Source organism: Homo sapiens, chromosome 9 (assembly GCF_000001405.40).
Source record: "Homo sapiens chromosome 9, GRCh38.p14 Primary Assembly".
NCBI lineage: Eukaryota > Metazoa > Chordata > Mammalia > Primates > Hominidae > Homo > Homo sapiens.
This window is the reverse complement of record NC_000009.12, coordinates 82,879,782-82,904,792: the sequence shown is the minus strand read 5'-3', so window position 1 is coordinate 82,904,792 and position 25,011 is coordinate 82,879,782. Positions and strand designations below refer to the sequence as shown.

Genomic DNA, 25,011 nt, shown 5'->3' with positions numbered 1-25,011 from the left:
CCAAACGAGATCAAATCCAGAGACTAAATGAAGTTTTTAGTGTTTTACTTATTAAGATTTGCATATTTAACAACAGAGCTGATAATATGTTTAACGACTAGACTTAAGTTCTAGGGCTCTCTTGGCTCAATGGTTTTAAGCAGATCAAGGACAGTTTTGAGTTTAGTTTTATCTAGAAAAATGAGGGACCTGAACTAGAGGGTTGTTTGAATAGTCTGGTTCTGAAATTCCCTGCTGTGGATTTCATCAGAGGGTTGAGAGTCATATATCACTTTGGCTACTAACTGCTTGAGGCTTTATCACCCATTGTTATATGATGAGAGGACTGAGAGTATTATACGTTATATAGTTATATGATGAGAGTATTAAAACAGGGCAGAGGTCTTGGCTCTCTGCATAATCACTGGGATATTGGAGGGCCAGATTTGGGGATCACAGAAAGTAAGGGTTTAAAGCTTCATGATGCCATGTGTGATGGTGGGTCTGTAAAGAGGAACCTTGCCTATTTTCCCATTTATATTTATGAAGTAACTATGTATGTATGTGTTTCTTTTTTTTTTTTTTTTTTGTGGCCTCTCTTCTGTTATACCATGATATGTTTCCCTGGTAGGCAGAGAGAAAATAAGACAAACGAGGAATTACCCTTTGCTTTGGACAGTGAACTAAACAGATCATGGCAGGAAATGCAGGAAAGACATTTAGGAAGCGAAAAATAGAAAAGAGCTCCAAGGATAAAGTGGCAAGTGCTTGACACTCTCCAGGAAGTGCTGTTCAGCTTCAAATATGACCGCAGTGCTGTGTGGGAGGGTCTTTTGAGAAGGACAATTTATCTCAAAATGTGTGGAGATAAATTTCTCTATAACCCTGAACTTTTGGCACCAGGTGGCCTGCTCTGTATTTCAATTTGTTTTTATAGACACTTCCTGATGAAGATATATTCTCTTTTCTTTATTGTTTATAATGGGGCTTTCGAATATCTGAATGCACAGTGACCAGGCATCCGAATGAGCAATACTCTCAATAATTCTTAAACAAACTCTGCTGATGGGATGCGTAAGCCATTAAAAAAAATGTCCTTGGTGGGGAGGAGATAGGATAGAGTGGGGAGATCCACCTCTATTGGCTGTAGTGACAGAGCGGGGCCAGTGGGTGGCTGAGCATCTAGATGGCTGGTAAGGGAAGAAATAAAACTTTTGAAGACTTTCATTTATCTTGTTTTTCAGTGTTAGAGTTCTTGAAGAGTTCAGGTATAATCACAGCCTTCTGTTCCAACAGGAAACACCATCTGCTGAAGCATTCTGTAAGCAATATAACATCTCTCCAGAGATAGTTTAGCATTCAATTCACAAAGAAAGATGGCAGGGACTTGTAAACAAAAGGAAACAACTGAAGCAGCGAGGAAGGGGCTGTGCTCTAAACATTCAATATGTTTCTTTATAGCTGAGAAGCCCTGTAATGCTACAAAAGCCTGGCAGAATTCTCTGATGTATTAATTGTTTTCTTGTGTGTGTGTGTGTGTGTGTGTGTGTGTGTGTTTAAGATTTGTGTTTGAAACTGCCTCTTCTAACACACCACTCTTTTTTTTTTATTTTGTTTTAATTTTTGCTTTTGTTTACTTTCAGGATAAGCCCTTTCTTATGGGTAAGGCAGGTCATAAGTGGTTATTGGTGAAGAACATATAAATAACAATTTAAAACATTTTAAAAATGCTGTACTTTGACTATAGCTTTGAGTTTGGAGGAGAGGAACTCATAGGACAAGGCCTTGGAGTGGTGGGCACTACAATTTGAAATGGGGTCTTAGCAAAAGAACTTTCCTATTTCAAGTTTTGCTATTTTGTCACAGGGAAAACAGCCAACAGTCTCACAATTTACGACGATGCCCAGTTGGTTGAAAATGCTGCATTGTACCCAAAGGAGAGGCTTCTAGAAACTCATCTGCATTGTTGAAGAATCAAATATTTAAGTAAAAGTGGATTCTCTTTTTCTATAGTCTAATTTGTCTCTAATAAAAAGACATAGTGTAGGAAAATTGGTCATACTGTGGGGAGAAAGTCTTTCAACCTTTTGGTTAAATTCAATACTTTAAGCAGAGTAGGAGCTCAAAATTAAGTGTCAGTGAATGAATAATTTGAGGGCAAATTTTCAGTAATCCTTCCTCCACCGCCCTTTAGCTATCTTCCTTCATTTAGACACACAGACCTGGGACATTTTGGTCTCTAGTTGCATATTTTACAAAACTACTCAATATATGACTTTATGATTTATATGGCCTAGAAATATTTACAGTAGCATTGATCATGATTTAAAACCTTAACCTCAGAACCTAGATTGTAAATATCCTGAACTGCAAAAGTATAGGAAAAAAAACAAAATCTCTGTCCTCAAAAAATGTATAATTCTTAGGGTTGCATCATTATATAAATTAATGACACTGAATGTGTGTGCACACATGCCTTGATAATTGTTTTATCCGATGGTCTTTATTACCTTGTAGAAATTGTATTGTCATAATTAAAACAAGTTTCATTATTTTCCACTTCCACTCCCATATAATAGATCACTACCATTTTAGCTTTGGGCCATTAGGCAATACAGATTGGATTGTTTTCTCCTAGATTTGTCGGTGTACTGCTTTTAAAAGAATTAATCACCTGTCTTATAGCTTCTCTTGTAACTCTGCTGGCTTCCACATGGAGAGAATTCTTTACTTTTTAGAATCACAGAATGTGATCCAGACATCAACTCTCTCCTGACCTGGATAAAGGAAACAGTGCAATGTTGTTTATGATAGAGTCCATAGAAATGTTCTATTGGCTATTTTAGTTGGCTACCAGAGCATTTTAAATGGTTGCATGTCCTTTCCACAAGCCTGTGAAGTGAGTAGTATTGAGACCAGCTTGGTCCTGGTTGTGAAATTACCACTTTGCAATTTGACTTTCCATTTTACCTGATTCCTGCATTTGTTGCTTGTCTGCCTTCTGTAGGTGTGTGATTTTAAACTCCTGGTCTATATGCAGATGTAGTTGTCACTTATTATAGAGCAGAGCAGAAATTAGGCATTCCCCAGTTCCTGATAATAATACCATAAAATACCAAAAGTGTATACACACACACATCCCACATAAATGTATACATTATCCCATGATGTGAACATATAACTTCATTGGTATATAGCATATATTTTATCAGATGACCACTGATCTCCATTTTAAATCAAGTTTCCACTTTTGGAAGTTTAAAAATATTATATAAAATAAAATATTATCATTGTTTGGGTAATTATGAGAGAAAAGGTTCTAGAACACCATTCATTCATTCATTCATTCATTGACTCAGCATCTTTTGCATGCTTGTTGAAAATCTATTAAATGCTGGGTATTGAGTTCTTGTTCTGTGTTGACCCTACAGGATATCATTGATTTGATATCACTTGATAGTTTCTGTTGAATAAGAAAACAGGTGTTAACAATGACACCACAAGGCCAAGGGAATAGTCTTTAATCTAGTCCATTATGGACTAGATTATCTTCCTCAATTATCTTGTTTAGTGTCATTTCCTAGGAGGTATCATTTAAGTTAATCAGTTTCTATGGACCTAACTCAATATGTGCCCGTAAGGCTAGTGGCCTGATTTATCACCTTCAGGATATTGATCTCTCTGAATCCTTCTGTTAGGAATTATTGGGATTCCTTGCCAGGAGTAGGGTTCTGGGAGTCCTGACTGGGAATGTGAGAGCCACTTGGTGGATCTCTGTGCAGGAGAGTCATTTCCTGCTGGTAGCCTAACTTGCAGAGAGAACCCCACTGGGGATGCTCTTACACTTTCTGTGAGAGAGACCCCTTCTCCCTAAAGCACCATGGGTATGATAGAATAATGGTCCCCCAAGGGTGTTCACATCCTAATCCTCAGAACATGAGAATATGATAACTTCCATGGCAAAGGGACATTTACAAATGTGATTAAATTAAGGCTCTTGAGATTGCTAAGTTATCCTGGTTTATCCAGGTATGCTCAGTGTAATCACAAAGATCTCTGTAAGAGAAAGGCAAGAGGGTTTAAGTCAGAAAGGAAATGTGATGGGTGGTGAGGCTAGTAGTTGGAGTGAAGTGCTTGGAAGATGGAAGAAGAGACTATGAGTCAAGGCAGGCAGGAAGCCTCTTGGAACAGGCAAGGCCTTGCTTCCTTGTGTGAAGCCTCCAAAAGGAGCACAGCCCTGCCAGCACCTTGATCCTAGACTTCTGACCTCCAGAACTTAGAGAGTGCACTTGTTTTGTTTTAAATTAATGTGTTCATTGTAGTTGGTTACAGCAGCAATAGGAAACTAACACAACTGGGTATCCACTGTGTGGGCAACTTCAAGACGTCTAATCTACCTGCAGGCACAGATCTAAGTCCTCTGTCCAGAGGGAGGGCCTATTTGATGCAAAACATTTATTCACAAAGCCTCCTTAAAACCAAGGAAGCCTGAATCCCACTTGCCACAAGAAGTCCATGAGTGTCTCTTACCTCTCTGCCACGGTTTCAGTGATAGGGAGCTTGTAGTTTGTCCCACCTCTGTGTCTCCTTCTCTCATTTTTTATTAAGAGTGGGGCTAGTAATACCACGGATTCCTCTGAATAAACTGAGCCAGCAAGGATCACAGATCCTCAGGCATATTTGTGAGATAAGCAGCTGCATAACCTTCACATCTGAGTCTATCTATTCATACTCTTTACAGTTCAATTTTCTAACAAATACTTTTTCCACTATGTGAATTTACGAAACTGGCCTCTAATCCAGGTCTTCTGAGTCTTGGCCCAGTGTCCTTTCTCTTAAATCATGATTGCTTGTTAAGTGGACTGGAGCTGCCCAGAAAGAAGAGTCTATGGTGAGAGGTGTCTTAAGTGCTAATGTGGATAGATGCTAAAGCTCAAAGCTGAAGATATCTATCTGTTTGTTAATTCTCAGCTTTGGGCATGTGCATCCTTCCACATTAGTGCTTTCATCATTGAAAGCAGTTACAGTGTTCTTGGGATCTTCTCCATCCTTTTAATGTGTAGGGATCTCCAGAGAGGGATGTCATGATATTTATTTCATAGTGAATAATTTCTCATTGCTTGCTGAGAATCTGAGGACCATGAAATAAAATTGCTCTTCAGGCCATTTTCTTAGCTCTCTGTTATTCACTCCTTTTTGAGTTCCTTGGCATAAGGCTGAACTACTGATTCTACCTAGCAGGTTTAGGCAATGCAGGAATGTCTTCTTGAATGTGTATGAAGGAATTCCACAATCCCATTGGCTTCCCTGGACACATTTATGCATGTCCTAATCCCTTAAAACACTGGAGTTGTGTTCCCAAATCCCAGCATGTCCTCTTGCGGTTCCATTAGGGACATTCAAACGTAAGGAAGCTAAGCGAATTTCTCATATATTCCAAATGGCTAGTGGCCCAATTTCCCGTTACAGACATCTTGGCACTCAAGTCTAGATCTTTTGATAGAGTAGTTTGTAGGTTTGGTGAAATAATCTTTTATGATAATTATTAAAATCTGCAGACAGATTTAGAAGCAATCTTAGATCTTGAAAGCAACATTATCTAGAGAACTATGCATTAAACCGCTGATTTAAAAAGAAAAGGCATGGTTTCCAAGTTCTTATTTGGAAAAAAAGGAATTGTTCATAGAGGTCAAGAACACTGTTAAAGAGAAGGCTTGTTTATTTTCTGAAATCACCATTAATTTTTTAATTAAAAAAAGTATAAAGTCATGTGCCTGGCATTGTAACACCCTATGAAGTTGGTACTCATTATTCCATTTTACACCTCAGAAAGCCACAGCATAAAGAAGTAAAGTAACTTTTCCCTTAGGTTATATCGCTTGTAATGGCAGAGCTAGGATTTGAACCTAGGCCATCCTTGTCCAGGGAGCATGTTATTAAAACTACATTATGCTGCCTCTCATAGACAGATGCCAAGAAGAAAGAGAGTCCAATGGATCTGGCCATTATCAAAGGTTGACTGCTATCACCATGGTGGAGATAGAAGTTTATGAAGGGGAGAGAATTTAAAACAGTTGATTGAAGACTCCTGACAAAGAACTACCAAAGCTTTAACATTCTAGTGCACCTCATCATTCAGCATACCTGATGAAATTTCTACAGTGTAATTATCTCCCACCGCTAAATCTTTATGGCCTACCTCCAACATTCTGAGAAGGCTAGTATAGGATGTTAATGTCACACATTCTGTAGAGATACATGACAACTAAAAGGAGATGATTATTCAGTGATGGTGTGCATTTGATGAAAAAATTTTTGCAAAGCTGACATAGTAACTTGAATAAAGCAAACAATAAGCAAATAAACAAATAAAAGCTCTTCCTGGCTTTACTATAGATTTAAAAATTAAATTTACTTTCAAAAAGTTGGTTACTCTTCCCTATGCGCTGTAAAATTCATGAAAAATGTGTCATAAAATAACTTGTTCATCCCTCAAACTGCTCAAATTTACCCTTTTATTTCTTATAGGGAAAGGAGAATTGTACAGGGCTCACTTTCGAAGAGGCTACTGTGTGCTTGCGGGCTGAAGAATTGTTGAATGCCAGGAAGTAGCAGCCAGAATAACACCTTATGTTTGTATGTGTTGCCGTTTATAAGCCACTTCTTCATACAGTATTTCATTTACACCTATGATAATCCTGAGGTGTAAACATTCTCTCCCCCCAGCCCATGGACAGCTCAGGCTCACTGAGGTTCACAGACTTGTCGCCAGTCACAGCGGCCATGTGTAGTGTGTCAGGGCCTCAAACCCAGGTCTGCACATGCCAAGCCCAAGGCTTGTTTTCTTACACAGCTGCCACCCTAATTCTTTCCTTTTCATCCCCAGGGTAAAGTGCCCCTGAAAAATCTGCTCCAGTATCCAGCTGTCTACAGGCTGAGGAAGCCAGCATGGTGTGCTTTATCCTTTCTTGGTGAACACAACCTACGCCCAGCACACCACAGAATAGATTTTAAAATTTCAGTGGCCCTTGAGCCCCAGTGACACATTTTGAGGTTTCTTTTTGCAATTAGATGCCTTATGGCTGTGGCGAAACTCTACCCTCATTCAAGATTTGGTCCATATACTCAGGGCTGACCTAAAATTGTATTGATCTCAAGACTAGCATATCATGCACTTTGACATCCATCTCCTGATATTCTTGTTGAAGGGACAGTTGTAGGTTTCCAAAGACCGTAATCTAAACTTTTTTATGACATTTGAGGCTTAACTACATCAACCTTGTTTAACTGCTAGACCCTTAAATTCTCACGTTGCTACTTTGCCTCATCTATGCTAGATACAAGGGATATATGTAGCATAGGTAAGGCACAATAGAATGATGAAGACCCAGTCCTTGCTTTCAAGTTGTTCATAATCTAAATGGGGAATCTTACAGTCCTACTCTGTAGAATTATTACCAGGTTTATAACCAAAGAAGTTAACTCGTGTCTAAACGTCTTATCATGGTGATTTAGCCTTGCTGGATATTTTCTGTTTGCTCCTTGACATCCATTCTCTCCTCTACCCCTCCCCACTCTCCCCAGTTTTGTGCCCTTGGGGCTGACATGTACTACTGGATCAAGGAGTTCCCTTGCCTTCTGGTAGGTTTGCTCTTTGGGAAGGAGATATCAAAGCATTTTTTCCTTTGCCTCCCTCCTTGCTAGGCTCTATCCTTCTTGGTATAGACTGTATCCCTCCACCTAAGGCCACATCTCATATTGGTGGCCCAATCCTAAAGCCATAGCTACCATTTTTTCTCAAGGTTTCTGAGCCTCTCCATCCCCAATCTTCAGGATAATAAAGTTCCCTGTTGTTGCTAGCCCTACAGTACTCTATCCCTTGTTAATTTCCCTTAATCCTGCCCACAACTTTGTAAAATATTTCTTTATTAAACTTCCCTTGACTATTTCATTTGAATGTGTTACCTGGCTCTCTAAGGCCCCTGTGTCATTCAAGACTCTCCATGACATGGTTCTATACTCTTAATCTAGCCACATCTGTCAGTGAATCTCATTCACAATCTCCACCCTCTCTTCAGAGGACCTCATGATGGAGAAATATTCTGAAAGGATCTCTCATGGTCCTTCTCACCATTCAAGGACAACACATGCTGCCTTGTTCACATAGACTCATGACCCCACCTTAAGGTCAAAATTAAACTCGCCTTCCTCACTGCTCTTGATATCAGATTAAATGCTGAACCATTGCTTATTTCACTTTACTTTCTCTCCTCTTATTTGCATGCTTGTCTTCTTTATCAGCCTGTTGCTCCCTGAGGGCAGGGCTTCCATCTTACTCAGAAAGAGAGTCCAACATTGCAGAATCAGTCCGCAATGATTGTGTGCTCAACTGATGAATGGGCTTGCTTGCAAGATGAATATGCTATTGTTTGGAGGTTAATAATTCAATCTGGGATAATCTAAACTATGTGGTTTTGCTGTCCTGACCCACTCCTTTGCTATAGATGCAAGATTAGAGGAGGGCATTTGAAATAGACCAATTGTATTTATCATGAACAATTCTGATGAAAGCATATATTGAGAAGGCTAAAACTTTTCAAGGATAAACGATGTTTTTGGAGTCGAGATAGAAGTTGAAGTGTTCTTTCTTCCACTGACAGTGGCTTTCAAACACTAACTCTTCTATGAGAACTCCACAATAGCATTTGCTTTAGTGAGGAAAAATTTGGCTTGGCTTGAAATGGTGGAAAGAAAAAGAGGTCAAATGAAATTCTGCTTAGAGAGCACTTCCTTCTGCCAGGCACAACCCTATTTCCAGAGATCTCGGGTATAAAAGATAATGGTTATGGGGTGTTGAGTAGTTAATGGGGCCCCTTGTCTTGGGCCAGTGCAGTTTTGAGCATGGGTTAAGAGTTAACTTTCCTTTTCTTTTGCTTGCTAAGCAAGCCCATGCTCCTTCTCAGTAAGGGAGGTGCCTTGTTTTGTCCTAAAGTCAAGCACTTTTCTAACATATCTTCAGTAATTAGATCTGTCTTTTTCCTTATAGCCCAATGCTTTTCATGGAGGTTAATGTTTAACTGTTTTATTGCCAGCACAGCTTCCCAACATGTAAGTTGGAGAGCAGCTATTTGCCCCTGGACCTGAACAATCTATATAGGCTTTCTTTATTACTTGATCAGCACTGTCACTAATGCAAATCTATCTCCCACACGAGGAGCGACATTAATTTTATATTGTTTATATACTCTTGCCATAAGGTTAAGCAATTTCTACTATTAAGCTTGATGAAATTGCATTACCTTAATGAAATGCACTTTACTGATAAAGAAGAATGTCACTTTCACAAGTGGAAGCACTGTTAGCAAATTTTTATGAGAGAATTCCCAAAATCATATCTTAATTGCTTGGACAGCTGTGTAGTTTACATAACGAGCAAACAATGCCAAGGTTTTTTATTTCCTTTGTCAGCTGTACTGGATGTTAGTATGCATGGTGGACCTTTTTTGGGCCTTTTATTACTTGATTGCAAATCATTCTTCATTGTTGCCCAAATTTATGGAAGGACATTGCTCCCTGAGGTGCCATTTCCTTTCAGGTCTGTAACTGAACATGACTGATGGCACCAGAGTAACAGTTGCTTATTACAGCGTTCACTGAGCTGTGATTGCTCCAATACTTTATGTTGGCAGATGTGTTTCCCTAGGAACAGCATCTCTGAGACAGAGGTCATTGATCAAACCCCCTCTGGCTGTTCCATTATGTGCAAATTATTGCTAAAAGCAGAGAGGCTGCAAGGGAGGTGGTGTGTACTCATTGCAGATATCAGGGAGGGAAGTCCAAGAAAAAAAAAAAAGGCAAGTGTAATGAAGCAGAAAAAAAATTCCACCTAAACTAAAACAATGTTTTTATAATGTGAATTAATAGGAAAAGGGGGAAATTAAGTGACTGAGAGACATGCAATGAAAGAAGAGTAGAATTTTATCATTCTGGGGTAACTTCTAATATTGGACTTGCTGACAGCATCCTAATAGCAGCTTTCCAGTCTAGAAGAGGGCATGTGTGTGAGCTGTACCCAGAGCACTGTCATCCTGATAGGGTAAAGATTAAGGCACTTAAGTGGCCAGTGCACAGCACTCTCTTCATCCTATTTGTGGCCAAATGTTTAGAAAATGCTGGAGACATACAGGGGACAAATGCAGACATGCTTCCTGTCCCCCAGCTTCTGCGGGTAGGGATGGAAGTGATAATGGATTGACTGGTGAATGGGAAGCACTTACATCTAGATCAGCCTTTGCTCAGGCTTGGTGGAACAGTATTTCTTATTTTTTTTGCTCAGCTGCAGCAGAAGCTCTTCCCAACAGATTTCTGTTTTTGGAAAGACCGGTGGATTCCCCATGTGAGTGTTTCTGATCTTTGCTAGCTTCAGTAAGACTATGGGATGGCTCAGGTGGAGCACGTGGCCTGCACACCTCTTGCTGGGCCTCCCTAGCCACAAACCTATACCACTTCATTTCTCACACTGACTTGCTTTTTAGTGTTGGCAAGAATCACTATTTTTATTTTTGCAATTCAGTCCTCCTTATCTGTAAAATCTTTCCTTACATTGAGCCAGATTCTTCCCAGAGTATAAGTCATTCCTTTCACACATTTTGGAGGCTTCAGGAACACCGTGTGCCAATTCCTGGGACATTGATATAGCCTTTGGGTATTGCTAGAGTCCCTCCTAAATATTGTATTTACTCCCAGGGTAACTTGATGTAACCCTACCATAACTCCCAAGGAAAGAGGGGAGTGCAGGAGCTCCTTTACTTGCAAACGTGATGGGGTCCAGAAGGCTAAGTAGTGACGGTAGGCTTTATCTCTATAATTTCAGAGTGACTGCCAATGTTCTCTGTTGGTGGCAGGCAGATTTGAAACCTTTTTTCTTTGGTGGTAGTTGTGGTATGAGTATTGAAATTACATTCTTTTAACAAAAGAATGCTTTTCAAAAGAGAGGAAAAAGCATTCCTATAAAAGATGAACACATCTCAAAGATTTTAAGTCATTAATCAAATGAGGGAACTAATAAGATGTTAAGACTAGTTCAAAGGAAAATCCAGAGAACAGATGCATTTATAGACCAGGAATATTGAAATGAATTTGCAAATTCATTTAAAACTGAAGTGAGGAGATTTAAATTAATTTGCATGTCTATAGATAAGAATTGTTTGCATTGTTATTAGTTTCTAAAAGTTAAACTTAATCTCAACAGAACTATGAAGAGCCTAGTCAAAAACAAAGGCACATTACCCTGTATGTTTAGATAATCCCTGGAGTATTCTGACATTCCATTGAAAGGATATCCAGTTATGCTTTGATTAATATAGTTATGATTCTTAAATTTGGAAATAATGGGACACACCTCATGCAGCTACACCACTGTACGCTCTCAGGAATCCTGATGCTGAATCCACTTGCTAAGTGAAATCTACCCTGTCCTCCTCAAGCAGACCTCTGCTTTTGTCACTCTGTCCTGAAGTGCCTACCTCTCTACACACATGTTCATTTTCTCTGTGCTTTAGCCTGTGCTCCCTCTAGCCTGAGTTTTCTTAAGCTATAGTTTCAACCACTGAAATCATAATAGCCCTTTAAGCAAAAGCCCCTGATAATATTTCTTCCAAGATTCCATCACCAGTCTCCCTTTTTTCTGCATTCCTATTTTACTTTCAATCTGTTGACAGTGCTGAACTTTACCTGAGCCCTGTGCTCTTGGAAAATAGCAGTGGTTAAAAGATTTCCCTAATCTTTTGTGTTCCAGGAAATAACTTACTGCAAAGAACCACCCTTCCCCATATGACTTGGATAATACTTGCAGATGAGCCCCTTGTCTACTCATGACAAGGCCATACAGGCTCTTAAAATTCCTGTTCTTTGTCTCATAAATGATTAGCTGAACTGTTTGTCCCCATTGACCAATCTGGACAAAATGCTAATATGACTTGACCAAACTTTGAGTAGGTGCCATTCTTTGTCCTGGGACCCTCAACTTTGCTTTATTCCTGAGCATGGGACACAGAACCACCTCTCCTTAACAGCTCTCCAGAGCTATTACTTCCTATTGTCCTCAGGAAAAAAATACTCTCTTATCAACTAGCTGATAATGCCACCTGCTCAGCTCAGTCCCCCACACCTGATTCTTTCCAGCCTGTTCATTCCTCCCAATATAAGGAAAGGCTTTTCCTTGTAACCTTTGAGTTGCTTGCCCATCTTCCTATAGAAGCATTCTCCTTATTGTAATATTGCCTCCACCACTTCATCATAATAGTTTCCCTCTTCCCATTGCAATAGTCTTTTTAAATGAAATCTCTACTTACCTGAGTCTGAATTTGTTTTATCTGATACTGTTCTTTAATGCCAAACTCTCTACTATAATTTGATTATTCATAGATTGGTTTACTAGTATTTAGTAATACTTACATCCAAAGAATTAGAAGCAACTTATAAAATAAGAGGATTAAATAAATTATTGAAAGAATCAAGTAAAAAAAATAAGGCCAAGAAAGTGATAAATATATAGATAAAAACAAATATATAATACATGGGGTCTTATACAGTTACTGAGTTGAGCCATAAATTTGGCTGCGTTTCCTAGTAGACAAAGCAAGGAGGGAAATTCTTTCAGTTATAAAATATATAGGGTCTACAAAAAAAAAAAGAAAAATACAACTGGTTGTAATTAATTCATGTGCCAGTCTTTGAACCCCAACAAGATGGTAACCCACTAAAAGGCAAAGCATGGGACTCCTTGAGGACAAAAAGGTTAGATTAAATAATAGCCATAATAATAATTACCATTTATTTAGAGCTGGTGTTGTCTTATAATTTTAACACAGTTAATTTTAATGCAATTAAGTTTTTTTTGTAACACAATTTTGCTCTAATACTATTTAGGAACTGAGTGTATTGACTTCTTGAGAAATGTGTTTATGTGTCCTCCTCCCACAGAAGAGGAGATTGAAATATAAAACAATCTGTTAGAGTAGATAGACATTTTATGTAGGTAACTTTAAGTGGCAAAGTAACCTTTATAAAAGAGGAATACAGAAAGAGAGAAAGGTATTTTTCAGTTTTAACTCATCTCACTTTTTTCCTTCCAGTTTCTTTAGATGACTAGAGCATGGGGATAAGTAGAGCAGATGGCTGGACAACAGGCTGGGCCGTATTTTAGGAGTCCTTGAGTGCTGAAGGGAGAGTTTGCATGTAATGAGGTAGACATTGGGATACCACTGAATGTTTTGAGTAGGAGAAGTTGCATTGTTAGAACTATGCTTTAGCATGAGTCATCCAACAAAAGTATCTGGGATGACTTGGTGAAGGATGAAATGAGAGGGGGGGCAATATAGCAATTCCAAGAGATAGAGAGTAAGTTTGAACTAAAATGGAAAGGAGTGATGGCAAGTGTCACTTCAGACAGAGCCATAGAATTTGGAAGACACTGGCTGTTAGATGAAGCCTGGACCTGGAAGCAAAGGATGATATATGGCTTGACAACTCCTTTGAGGTTTATCTTTGCTTAGCTTGGAAGGTGGTAAAGATATTAACAAAATGGAAAAATCTGGGAAAGAGGATGTATGGAGCAAAGCAAATGTGTTCAACTTTGCAACTACTGATTTTGAGGTGTAAATGGAATGTTCAAATGAAGATGTCTAGGAGGTTATTGAGACTGTTAGGAGTGATGCAATCACACAGGAAAAGGCTGTAAAGAGGGAAGTCCTGAGGTGAGAACAGAGTCATGAAGCTGCCTGCACTTGAGGGTGCAGAAGGAGAAAGTAAACTTAAAAATGGGACAGAGATTGAGCAGAAAGGTAGGAGGAGAGCCAGTTTCAGTGGTGAAAAGAGAGGTTTCAATGAGGCTGGGGTCAACAATGTCAGACACTACAGAGAAGGGATAGATGGCATGAGGTGAGATTAGCTCATTGAAAGAGAAGGCTGATGCCAGATTGTAAGAGTTCAGGAGTGAGTGGGAAGGCAGGGCAGCAACTAAAATACTTGTTCAATAATTTATTGTGAAAGGAAACTATCTTGGGCCCCCCAAAATCACTAAGGAAAACTCAAGCTGGAAACTGCTTAAAGCGAAACCTGCCTCCCATTCTATCAGAAGTCACGCCTCTGCTCACTGAGATAGATGCATATCTGATTGCTTCCTTCAGAAAGACTAATCAGAGACTCAAAAGAATGCAACTGTTTGTGTCTCACCCATGTGTGACCTGGAAGCTCCCTCTGGCTTCCAGTCTTCCGGCCTTTGCTTCAAGTTGTCCTGCCTTTCCAGACCCAACCAATGTATGTCTTACATGTATTGATTGATGTCTCATGTCTCCCTAAAATGTGCAAAACCAAGCTGTGCCCCGACCATCTTGGGCACATGTGGCCAGGACTTCCTGAGGCTGTGTTATGGGTGCATCCTCAACCTTGGCAAAATAAACTTTCTAAATTAATTGAGACCTGTCTCAGATTTTCTGGGTTCACACTGTGTATAATTAAAAAGAGAAGGTAAAGAGAAAGAGAAGAAAGGGTTAAAAAAAGAAGGTGAAATTAAAGAGAAAGTAAAAATCAAGACAAGAAACGATAATCTTAGTCTGACTGGAGTGGAGAAAAGTGTTTTAGGATGTGGAAAAATTGAGCATAATACTAAACTATGTCAAAGAGCTTTGGGAGAGAGGTTGAAAATGAGATACAGAGAGGGAAAAAAGTTCTTGAGAAAAACAGGAGGGGATGGAATTAAGCAGCATAATAGAGAAATACTTTGAGACCAAGTAAAGGGATGTTGAAGAAGCTCCTATTCGATTGAATTAATCTTGGTAAGGTGAAATTGAGGGGTCTCTGATGGGGTTGGATGTGTGTGTTTAGGAGAATAAAGAAATTTTAAAATCCCTGCCCAAGGAGTATGTGAAATATCCAACAGTGGACAAAGGGATCTTCAGGCAGCTTTGAGAACTCACTTCAGGTTAATCAAGTTCCATTTGTAGAAGTGCATTTCATAAAATGCTTGTCAGCAGGTAGTGAGGCTGTATCTTGAGGGGAAGCAAAATATTGGGGTGTCTTTGAAGGTAAGGCAATAGAATATCAGAAGAGGAAGGGATTATTTTATTATAGTGATGATTGGATTGGAAAAATGACTGGCCTTTGGTTCGAGGTCAATCAGAGAGTCAAGTGAGTCCAGAGGATGGCCCCTAGGAGAGATGGCAGAGTTCAAAGACCTAGAGGTCATGATGATCACAAAAAACAGCATCCTTTATTGGAAGTGCAGGAATTAGCAAAATAGAAGGGAAGGAGCTATGGTCAGTTTCATGCGCGTCCGTGTGAAGAGACCACCAAACAGGCTTTGTGCGAGCAACATGGCTGTTTATTTCACCTGGGTGCAGGCGGGCTGAGTCCGAAAAGAGTCAGCAAAGGGAAATTGGGGTGGGGCCGTTTTATAGGATTTGGTTAGGTAAAGGAAAATTACAGTCAAAGGGGGTTTGTTCTCTGGCAGGCAGGAGTGGGGGTCACAAGGTGCTCAGTGGGGGAGCTTTTTGAGCCAGGATGAGCCAGGAAAAGGACTTTCACAAGGTAATGTCATCACTTAAGGCAAGGACTGGCCATTTACACTTCTTTTGTGGTGGAATATCACCAGTTAAGGCGGGGCAGGGCATATTCACTTCTTTTGTGATTCTTCAGTTACTTCAGGCCATCTGGGCATATACGTGCAAGTCACAGGGGATGCGATGGCTTGGCTTGGGCTCAGAGGCCTGACATTCCTGACTTCTTATATTAATAAGAAAAATAAAACAAAATAGTGTTGAAGTGTTGGGGTGGCGAAAATTTTTGGGGGGTGGTATGGAGAGAGAATGAGCGATGTTTCTCAGGGCTGCTTCAAGCGGGATTAGGGGCGGCGTGGGAACCTAGAGTGGGAGAGATTAAGCTGAAGGGAGGTCTTGTGGTAAGGGGTGATATTGTGGGGATGTTAGAAGAAACATTTGTTGTATAGAATGATTGGTGATGGCCTGGATACGGTTTTGGATGAATTGAGAAACTAAATGGTAACAGAAGGAGAAAAACAGGTATAAAAGGTCTAAGAATTGGGACGACTCAGGATATCTGATTAGAGAGTGCCTAAGAAGATTCAGCATAGTCCTGCCAACAAAGATTATTTATTTACTTCAAGAGTTAAGAGTGGCAGTTTGGGGATAGCACCTGGAGATATCAGCTGTGATAGCTTGGAAAAACAGTGTAAACCGGCAGTGTAAACAAGAGCAGGGCATGTATGAGTAGTTGAGAACGGTGAATAGGAGTATGACTAGACAGAAGGTAGTAGGGATGACAAGTTTTTTGGGGCACAGTCTAAGTTGGTCTGGTGTCTGGAATGAGACTGGGGCTTAATAAAAAGGAGCGTCTATACAGGAGCTTAAATGGGCTGTACCCTGTAGCATTCCGAAGACAGGCCTGAATTCTGAGAAGGGCAAGTGGTAAAAGTATTGTCCAGTCCTTTTTAGGTTGGTGGCTGAGCTTGGTGAGGTGTATTTTTAAAAGACCTTTAGTCCATTCTACTTTTCTTGAAGGCGGAGGACCGTAAGGGATATAAAGGTTTCACTGAATACTAAGAGCCTGAAAAACTGCTTGGCTGATTTGACTAATAAAGGCTCATCTGTTATCAGACTGTATTGAGGTGGGAAGGCTAAACTGAGGAATTATGTCTGACAGAACGGAAGAAATGACTGCAGTGGCCTTCTCAGACCCTGTAGGAAAGGCCTCTACCTATCCAGTGAAAGTATCTAGACTTAGAGGTATTTTAGTTATCTGACTCAGAGCATGTTGAGTAAAGCTAATTTGCCATTCCTGGGTGGGGCAAATCCTCGAGCTTGATGTGTAGGGAAGGGAGGGGGCCTGAATAATCCCTGAGGAGTAGTAGAATAGCAAATGGAACACAGAGAAGTTATTTCCTTGAGGATAGATTTCCACGATGGAAAGGAAATGAGAGGTTCTAAGAGGCGGGCTAGTGGCTTGTACTATAGCATAACCTGCCTTTGCTGGTGTGTGGCGATTAGGCCTGGTGGAACCACCATCAATAAATCAAGCGTGAGCAGGGTGAGGAACAGGAAAGAAGGAAATTTGGGGAAATGGGGTGAATGTCAGGTGGATAAGAGAGATATAGTCAGGGGGTCAGGTGCGGTATCAGGAATAATGTGGGAGGCCGGATTGAAGTCTGGGCCAGGAACAACGGTAATTGTGGGAGACTCAACAAACAGTGAGTATAGCTGAAGGAGCCGGGAAGCAGAAAGCATATGCGTCAGGTATGAGGAAGAAAATAGATTTTGGAAGTTATGAGAACTGTAGAGAGTGAGTTGAGCATAGTTTGTGATTTTGAGGGCCTCTAAAAGTATTAAAGCAGTGGCAGCCGCTGCACACAGACATGAGGGCTAGGCTAAAACAGTAAGGTCAAGTTGTTTGGACAGAAACGCTACGGGCTATGGTCCTGGCTCTTGTGTAAGAATTCTGACCACACTAACCATGCCTAGGAAGGAAAGGAGTTGTTGTTTTGTAGAAGGTGCTGGGGTTTGAGAGATCAGTCGGACACGATTGGCAGGGAGAGCACGTGTGTTTTTATGAGAATTATGCCGAGATAGGTAACAGATGAGGAAGAAATTTGGGCTTGATTGAAGTAATGGGGGCTGTCTGTGAAGCTTTGCGGCAGTACAGCCTAGGTAATTTGCTGAGCTTGATGGGTGTCAGGGTCAGTCCAAGTGAAAGCGAAGAGAGGCTGGGATTAAAGGTGCAAAGGAATAGTAAAGAAAGCATGTTTGAGATCCAGAACAGAATAATGGGTTGTAGAGGCAGGTACTGAGGATAGGAGAGTATATGGGTTTGGCACCACGGGGTGGATAGGCAAAACAATTTGGTTGATAAGGCGCAGATCCTGAACTAACTTGTAAGGCTTGTCTGGTTTTAGGACAGGTAAAATGGGGGAACTGTAAGGAGAGTTTATAGGCTTTAAAAGGCCATGCTGTAGCAGGCGAGTGATAACAGGCTTTAATCTTTTTAAAGCGTGCTGCGGGATGGGATATTGGCGTTGAGTGGGGTAAGGGTGATTAGGTTTTAATGAGATGGTAAGGGGTGCATGATCGGTCACCAAGGAGGGAGTAGAGGTATCTTATACTTGTGGGTTAAGGTGGGGGGATACAAGAGGAGGATGCAAAGGAGGCTTTGGATTGGGAAGAAGGGTGGCAATGAGATATAGCTGTACTCCAGGAATAGTCAGGGAAGCAGACAATTTAGTTAAAGTGTCTCAGCCTCATAAGGGAACTGGGCAGGTGGGGATAATTAAAAAGGAATGCTTAAAAGAGTATTGTCTAAGTTGGCAGCAGAGTTGGGGAGTTTTAAGAGGTTTAGAAGCCTGGCTGTCAATACCCACAACAGTTATGGAGGCAAGGGAAACAGGCCCTTGAAAAGAAGGTAATGTGGAGTGGGTAGCCTCCATATTGATTAAGAAGGGGACGGACTTACCTTCCACTGTGAGAGTTACCCAAAGCTCAGCGTCCATGATGGTCTACGGGGCTTCCAAGGCGATTGGGCAGCGTCAGTCTTCAGCCGCTAAGCCAAGAAGGAGTCAGTCAGAGAGCCTTGGGCCAGAGTTCCAGGGGCTCTGGGAGTGGCTGCCAGGTGAGTTGAACGGTCCAATTTCCAGTGGGGTCACACAGATGGGACATGGCTTAGGAGGAATCCTGGGCTGCAGGCATTCCTTGGCCTGGTGGTCAGATTTCTGGCACTTGTAGCAAGCTCCTGGGGGAGGAGGTTCTGGAGGAACGCCTGGCTGCTGCAGTTCAGGCGTTTGGAAGTTCTTGTGTGCTGGAGATGTGGCTGGGGTTTGTCTCACAGTGGAGGCAAAGAATTGCAACTTTTTTCTGTTATTGTACACCTTGAAGGCGAGGTTAATTAAATCCTGTTGTGGGGTTTGAGGGCCGGAATTTAATTTTTGGAGTTTTATTTAATGTCGGGAGCAGATTGGGTAATAAAATGTATATTGAGAATAAGATGGCCTTTTGACCTTTTAGGGTCTAGGGCTGTAAAGCCTCTCAGGGTTGCTGCCAAACAAGCCATGAACTGGGCTGGGTTTTTATATTTGATGAAAAAGAGCCTAAACGCTATCTGACTTGGGATAAAGAAAAAGGAGCATTAACCTTGACTATGCCTTTTGCTCCAGCCACCTTTTTAAGAGTAAATTGCTGGGCAGGTTGGGGAGGGCTAGTCACAGAAGGAATCTGTAAGCCAGACCAGGTGTGAGGAGGGGAGGCGATAAAAAGATTACAGAGTGGAGAAGCGGAGGCTGAGGAAGAATTGGGACCTAGCTTGGGCTGGCAAGGAGGGGAGAAGTCAGATGGGTCTGTAGAAAAGGAAGATTAGAAAGACTTAGCGACGCTTGGGGTTGGGACTGAGGGGACAGGCGGGAGGGAAAGAAGGAAGATTTGGGACGAGTTGCACTGGGCAAAGGAACTGATGTGTAAAAGAATGCCTGGACATCAGGCACCTCAGACCGTTTGCCTATTTTATGGCAAGAATTATTTAGATCTTGCAGGATGGAAAAATTCAAAGTGCCATTTTCTGGCTATTTGGAACTACTGTCGAGTTTGTATTGGGGTCAAGAGGCATTGCAGAAGAAAATAAGGCACTTAGGTTTTAGGTCAGGTGAGAGTTGAAGAGGTTTTAAGTTTTTGAGAACACAGGCCAAGGGAGTAGAAGGAGGAATGGAGGGTGGAAGGTTCCCATAGTGAAGGAAGCAAGCCTAGAGAAAAGAGAGAGTAGAGAAACGGAGGGAAGGGGTTCGGGGGTTCTTACTTTCCAGAAAAGTGGGAAAAGGGGTTGGGGCACAGATAAGAGGTCAGGGCACAGAAATAAGGGATTGGGGCACAGAGATAAGAGGTTGGGACACAGAAATAAGGGATTGGGGGTTCTTGCCCCGTAGAAAAGTGGGACTTGCTGCTAAGGGTGAAGGAGAAGGGGTTGAGGGGTACTTGCCCCTCTCCCAGAAAAGCAGAGAAGGGGTAGAGACAAGGAGAGAAGGGGTTGGGGTACTTGCCCTGTCCCCGGAAAAGCAGAGAAGGGGTAGAGACAAGGACAGAAGGGGTTGGGGTACTTGCCCCTTCCCCAGAAAAGCGGGACTTGCCACTAAGGGTGAAGGACCAAGGCAGGTGTCCCTGCGTGGTCTGACACCCTTGAAACGTGGGTGTATAATCAGACAGGTCTCCCTGCAATGATTAAACACGAAGGGAAGGCTGCCTTCCCAGTCTGTGACCGGCGCCGGAGTTTTGGGTCCACAGATAAAACGCGTCTCTTTTGTCTCTACCAGAAAATGAAAGGAATTGAAATTAAGAGAAGGGAGAGATTGAAGTGTAGCACCAAGATTGAAAGGAGAAAGACATTGAGGGATAGTGAGGGAGGCTGGAGAAGAGAGTAAAAAGAGGCCACTTAACAGATTTGAAATTGGTGAGATGTTTCTTGGGCTGGTCGGTCTGAGGACCTGAGGTTGTAGGTGGATCTTTCTCATGAAGCAAAGAACAAGAGGACAGGGGATTGATCTCCCAAGGGAGGTCCCCCGATCCGAGTCACGGCACCAAATTTCATGTGCGTCTGTGTGAGGAGACCACGAACCATGCTTTGTGTGAGCAACATGGCAGTTTATTTCACCTGGGGGCAGGTGGGCTGAGTCTGAAAAGAGAGTCAGCAAAGGGAAATTGGGGTGGGGCCGTTTTATAGGATTTGGTTAGGTAAAGGAAAATTACAGTCAAAGGGGGTTTGTTCTCTGGCAGGCAGGAGTGGGGGTCACAAGGTGCTCAGTGGGGGAGCTTTTTGAGCCAGGATGAGCCAGGAAAAGGACTTTCACAAGGTAATGTCATCACTTAAGGCAAGGACCGGCCATTTACACTTCTTTTGTGGTGGAATATCACCAGTTAAGGCGGGGCAGGGCATATTCACTTCTTTTGTGATTCTTCAGTTACTTCAGGCCATCTGGGCATATACGTGCAAGTCACAGGGGATGCGATGGCTTGGCTTGGGCTCAGAGGCCTGACAGTCAGAGAAAAGGAGTGTCCAATAGTGGAGGCCTTGTAGGGAGCAGTGTCCATGGGGTATGGTGACCAAGGTCTGGTTATGTGAGCATCTGATCTGTGAAAATGGATTAGAATTGAGCCATGGGAGGCCTTTGCATTCCTGGATCCACCATGACATGCAAAGGGCAATGGCAAAGGTGTGAGGCTATTACTTGATGTGGGTGCTTGGAAAGAAAAAAAATGACTGATTTGGTGGAAGATGTATACAGGGTTAGCGAAGTTGTTGCATGAAGGTAAAGGGCTCATAAGTGATTCTGTATGTTGCCTTTAAGAGAACAGTGTGGACACAGGGTCAAAAGAGTTTTGGAGGCCAAAGACAATTCTTTTTTAGATGAATCTTCCTGAGATGAAAAAAAAAAAAGACAACAAGTGGATGGATGTAAATAAAATTAAAACTACAAATCATTTATTCCTATTTTGAAGTGGAATTGTTTTAAAAATGTTAGATAGCATGACAGATTCTTTCTATAGAGGGTGGGCATGTGTGTGTGTATGTGTGTGTGCCTGTGCAAATGTGTGTTTAAAGCAAAGATAAAGATGGAGGAGGCTGGCAAGGTATAGTGTCAAAGTTCTGTTATGAGACTACAACCAGATTTTTTCCCCTATTTTCTTGCTAGTCTTGGGCCATTTCACTGCTAATCTGCACATCCATCAAACAAACAGGAAAGGGAAATGGAGGATTGAATCACAAATCTGTCAATTTTGTTATTCTTGGTAGTTCAGGTTAAAGTTTTGGTGGGGGCAGAGTTAGAAAAAAATGCCAAAAATTCGATTTCCTGGTAGTGGGAGCATTGTTATTGGTAATGAGTCAGCTACTTGAAATGCTACACATAGCCCAGATTTATGGCTTCTTTAGGTGTTCTGTGGAATTGAAATGCTTTTTTTTTCAGCGAAATCTAGTTGCTAACCTGCTTTTCTTTAAGATCTTTGTGCTTTTTATGTTATTAGACAGAAAGCAACAGCAAACAGCCTTTAGAACATCTCGGGAAATAAAATGTAGTGGGTACAAATTTCACAGGCCACAGACTCAGATGTGAAAAAAAATGAAATTTAGCATCTATTTCATACCCCTTTTTGGCTGAAAGCAGAAAACTTGGTTTTGCTGATTTAAGACAAACTGTGAACTTTATTTTGCATACTTTTTCAGAGAAAGATGCTCAAAATCAGGGTTCTTACACTCCCACTCCTATTCCCCAGCATAGCGGCTAAGCTCCTGGGACTTTAGTGCCTCACAGTGTTGAGAAAAGAGGGCACCTGGCTCATGATTGTCCTCTGTGCCCTGCTGGTATCCACAGAGGAATGTCTCATCTTGGCTGGTCATTTACTCATTGTCCTCTGTCTATGACTGATATCCACCATGATGACTCCATAGCCATGGCCTCTGGTCATGTCAGACCATCTGTTTCTTCTTTGAGTCACTCATGAGGTGTTGCTGGTTCACTAGCCATCTCTCAGCCATATGTGAGCCTCTCTTGTGGGGTCCTGGAGGTTTGCTGATGTTCTATGCACTTTACCTGGGTTGCCTCAGACTTTGAAGTTTGCCCACACCAGCCTACCTGGACCCTCACTTAGCCTTTGATACTCCACAGCTCTGTTACAATAGTGGATATACAAAGTTTCTCTCTGAGGCCTGTAGCTCTCCAGTGGCTATCCCCTGAGATATGAGGCACTGGCACTTTCTGATCTGGTATTTCCCTAAACCTATGTAATGTTTACATAGATTAACCTTAGACAAACTTCACCCAGGACTGTGACTTTGTAAGTGGAACATGATGTCTTTTCTCAAAAACACCACAATGCTTTCATCTCCCCGGCCCTTCTCCTTCATTTTATCAACTCCATTTCATTTTGTGTCAGAAAACTTGCTTTTACAATATCAAGTCTTCTTCCCAAATTTATTATTTATAGTATTGATTGTACATACTTTATTCATATTAAAATCAAGGATTTGGGCACTCAAGCTTTGCCTAGCTTTGAAAAAGCACATGTCCATTGACTTTCGACACTACTTTATTATGAATTTTTAAATCATTTCGGAAACGAAGTGGAATTGTTTTCTGAAAATTTTTTGGATAGTAAAGTGGGACTTAAAAGATGAGCCTTGGACAGTAGAGAAAAGATTTTGCTTCACTCTTAGTTACAGGCTTCCAGTCTCGATTTGATAGTAATTCCATGCTTTAAGCAAAAGGATACCTTTGACTAGGGTGACCATAAAATTTTTCTTTCAAACTAGGGCAATTATGAGAGTGAAAGGTGAAGCCATTAATAATTATGCCAAGAAATCTGGCATACACTAGGACTATCCCAAGAAAACCTGGATATCAGGTCATCCTACTTTTCACCTGGGGAGAGAGTGTAAGATCTAGTCAAAGATGCAGTGGTCTGTAGGACATCATAAGCCAAAGATAATGGAATAGATTCAGTTAACTGAATCTCAAGCACGAGATTGTCCTTCCGTATATGCTTTTTTCTTCACATTCTTTAGTGAGGCCCGGTTCAAGGATTTCAGACTGGCCTCAGCTGTGTGTGTGTGTGTGTGTGTGTGTGTGTGTGTGTGTGTGCATGAGAGAGAGAGAGAGAGAGAGAGAAAACATGGCTGGAGATTTCAATGGAAACCAGTGCCTTCTTGGCCTGACATGGGGAGGTGGCAGGAACAATTAGCAAGATGAAGAAAAAATGTTGAATAATAAAAGTTGGAAATGAGATCCAGGCATTGTTTTTGTACTGATATTCTCCCTCCCTCCCAACCAGAAAGGGCCTAGGATTAACTGGGTTAAGGAAACGTGCCTGACAATGTGCCCTGCCATTTAGTTTCTGATTGATGATTATTTCCCCACGTACCCCTTGCTCTTGGAAAGCAATGCACAGTGAGATAGCTGCAGTCTAGGTAGGGCTAAGGAAACCAGTGTCACTTTAAGTTATCTTAAAATTATATAACACTACTTGGCTGGCTCAGCATTTACAGTAGAAAAATTAATTGTTAAAATATAAATATCAAGTATTTTACATGCATATATAAATTTCTGATTTATTTTTAAAAACCAGGAAATCTGGCTATTTCGGGTCAGCTTCTCCAGGAAGCAAAAATCACTGGAGCAATATCTGACGGCTTTTACAAGATGTGGCATTCCTCTGCAGTTCACCAGAGGCCCTGCCACTCCTTCCTGTCATGTATCCAGGCCATTTCACTGATTTATATTAGCTTATTGGCTACTGCAGTTTTCGAATTTGTGATTCCTGCACTATACCACATTGTGTGTTGGAAATTTCCAAAATAACCAAGTCTAAGTACAGCAGTTGTATCAAGGTTTCTGCTTTTCTTAGAAATCCCAGCTGTCATTATTCAGACACCTTTATTAAACATCTATTTTTAATATTTTGAAGAACATTTATACAGTGACATGTACATATTATTAAGTGTAGAGTGCAATGAATTTTGCATATGCATATTTCCTGTGTAACTGACTTACTGATTAAGATATTGAACCTTTCCATTACCCCAGAAAATTCACTTATACTGCCTCCAGTCAATATGAACTCATCTCCTCTGTAGGTAAGCATTCGGAGTTCTATCAACAGAGAGTAACTCTGCCTTCTTTAGGGCTTTGTGTAAATAGAATCATACAGTATGAAAGTTTCTGAGTTCAGATTCATCCAGGCTGTTGAGAAAAGCCACCGTTTGTTCTTTTACTTTGCTGAGTAGTTTTCCATTGTTTAAATATACCATTATTTGTTTATTCATTCACCTCTTGATGGACTAATATGATTTGGCTCTGTGTCCCACCCAAATCTCATATTGTAGTTCCCATAATTCCCACGTGTTGTGGGAGGGACCTGGTGGGAGATGTCTGAATCTTGGGGGCGGGTCTTTTCCGTGCTGTTCTACGTGATAGTGATCGGGTCTTACGAGATC

At 41.2% G+C, this 25,011-nt stretch overlaps 7 annotated features.

The window, feature by feature from the left end:
* Nucleotides 9,021-10,076: an enhancer, noted in NCBI's record as "VISTA enhancer hs618". NCBI's record gives its function as "enhancer in: neural tube[6/11]" and the evidence as "EXISTENCE:transgenic organism evidence [ECO:0001131][PMID:17130149]".
* Nucleotides 14,799-15,623: an enhancer, noted in NCBI's record as "OCT4-NANOG-H3K27ac hESC enhancer chr9:85504085-85504909 (GRCh37/hg19 assembly coordinates)". NCBI's record gives its function as "activates a minimal SCP1, AML or CMV promoter by ChIP-STARR-seq in naive H9 embryonic stem cells {active_cell/tissue: H9 hESC(naive)}" and the evidence as "EXISTENCE:reporter gene assay evidence [ECO:0000049][PMID:30033119]".
* Nucleotides 15,624-16,449: an enhancer, noted in NCBI's record as "OCT4-NANOG-H3K27ac hESC enhancer chr9:85503259-85504084 (GRCh37/hg19 assembly coordinates)". NCBI's record gives its function as "activates a minimal SCP1, AML or CMV promoter by ChIP-STARR-seq in naive H9 embryonic stem cells {active_cell/tissue: H9 hESC(naive)}" and the evidence as "EXISTENCE:reporter gene assay evidence [ECO:0000049][PMID:30033119]".
* Nucleotides 18,102-18,926: an enhancer, noted in NCBI's record as "H3K27ac-H3K4me1 hESC enhancer chr9:85500782-85501606 (GRCh37/hg19 assembly coordinates)". NCBI's record gives its function as "activates a minimal SCP1, AML or CMV promoter by ChIP-STARR-seq in primed H9 embryonic stem cells {active_cell/tissue: H9 hESC(primed)}" and the evidence as "EXISTENCE:reporter gene assay evidence [ECO:0000049][PMID:30033119]".
* Nucleotides 20,578-21,404: an enhancer, noted in NCBI's record as "OCT4-NANOG-H3K27ac hESC enhancer chr9:85498304-85499130 (GRCh37/hg19 assembly coordinates)". NCBI's record gives its function as "activates a minimal SCP1, AML or CMV promoter by ChIP-STARR-seq in naive and primed H9 embryonic stem cells {active_cell/tissue: H9 hESC(naive and primed)}" and the evidence as "EXISTENCE:reporter gene assay evidence [ECO:0000049][PMID:30033119]".
* Nucleotides 21,870-22,369: an enhancer, noted in NCBI's record as "H3K27ac hESC enhancer chr9:85497339-85497838 (GRCh37/hg19 assembly coordinates)". NCBI's record gives its function as "activates a minimal SCP1, AML or CMV promoter by ChIP-STARR-seq in naive H9 embryonic stem cells {active_cell/tissue: H9 hESC(naive)}" and the evidence as "EXISTENCE:reporter gene assay evidence [ECO:0000049][PMID:30033119]".
* Nucleotides 22,370-22,871: an enhancer, noted in NCBI's record as "H3K27ac hESC enhancer chr9:85496837-85497338 (GRCh37/hg19 assembly coordinates)". NCBI's record gives its function as "activates a minimal SCP1, AML or CMV promoter by ChIP-STARR-seq in naive H9 embryonic stem cells {active_cell/tissue: H9 hESC(naive)}" and the evidence as "EXISTENCE:reporter gene assay evidence [ECO:0000049][PMID:30033119]".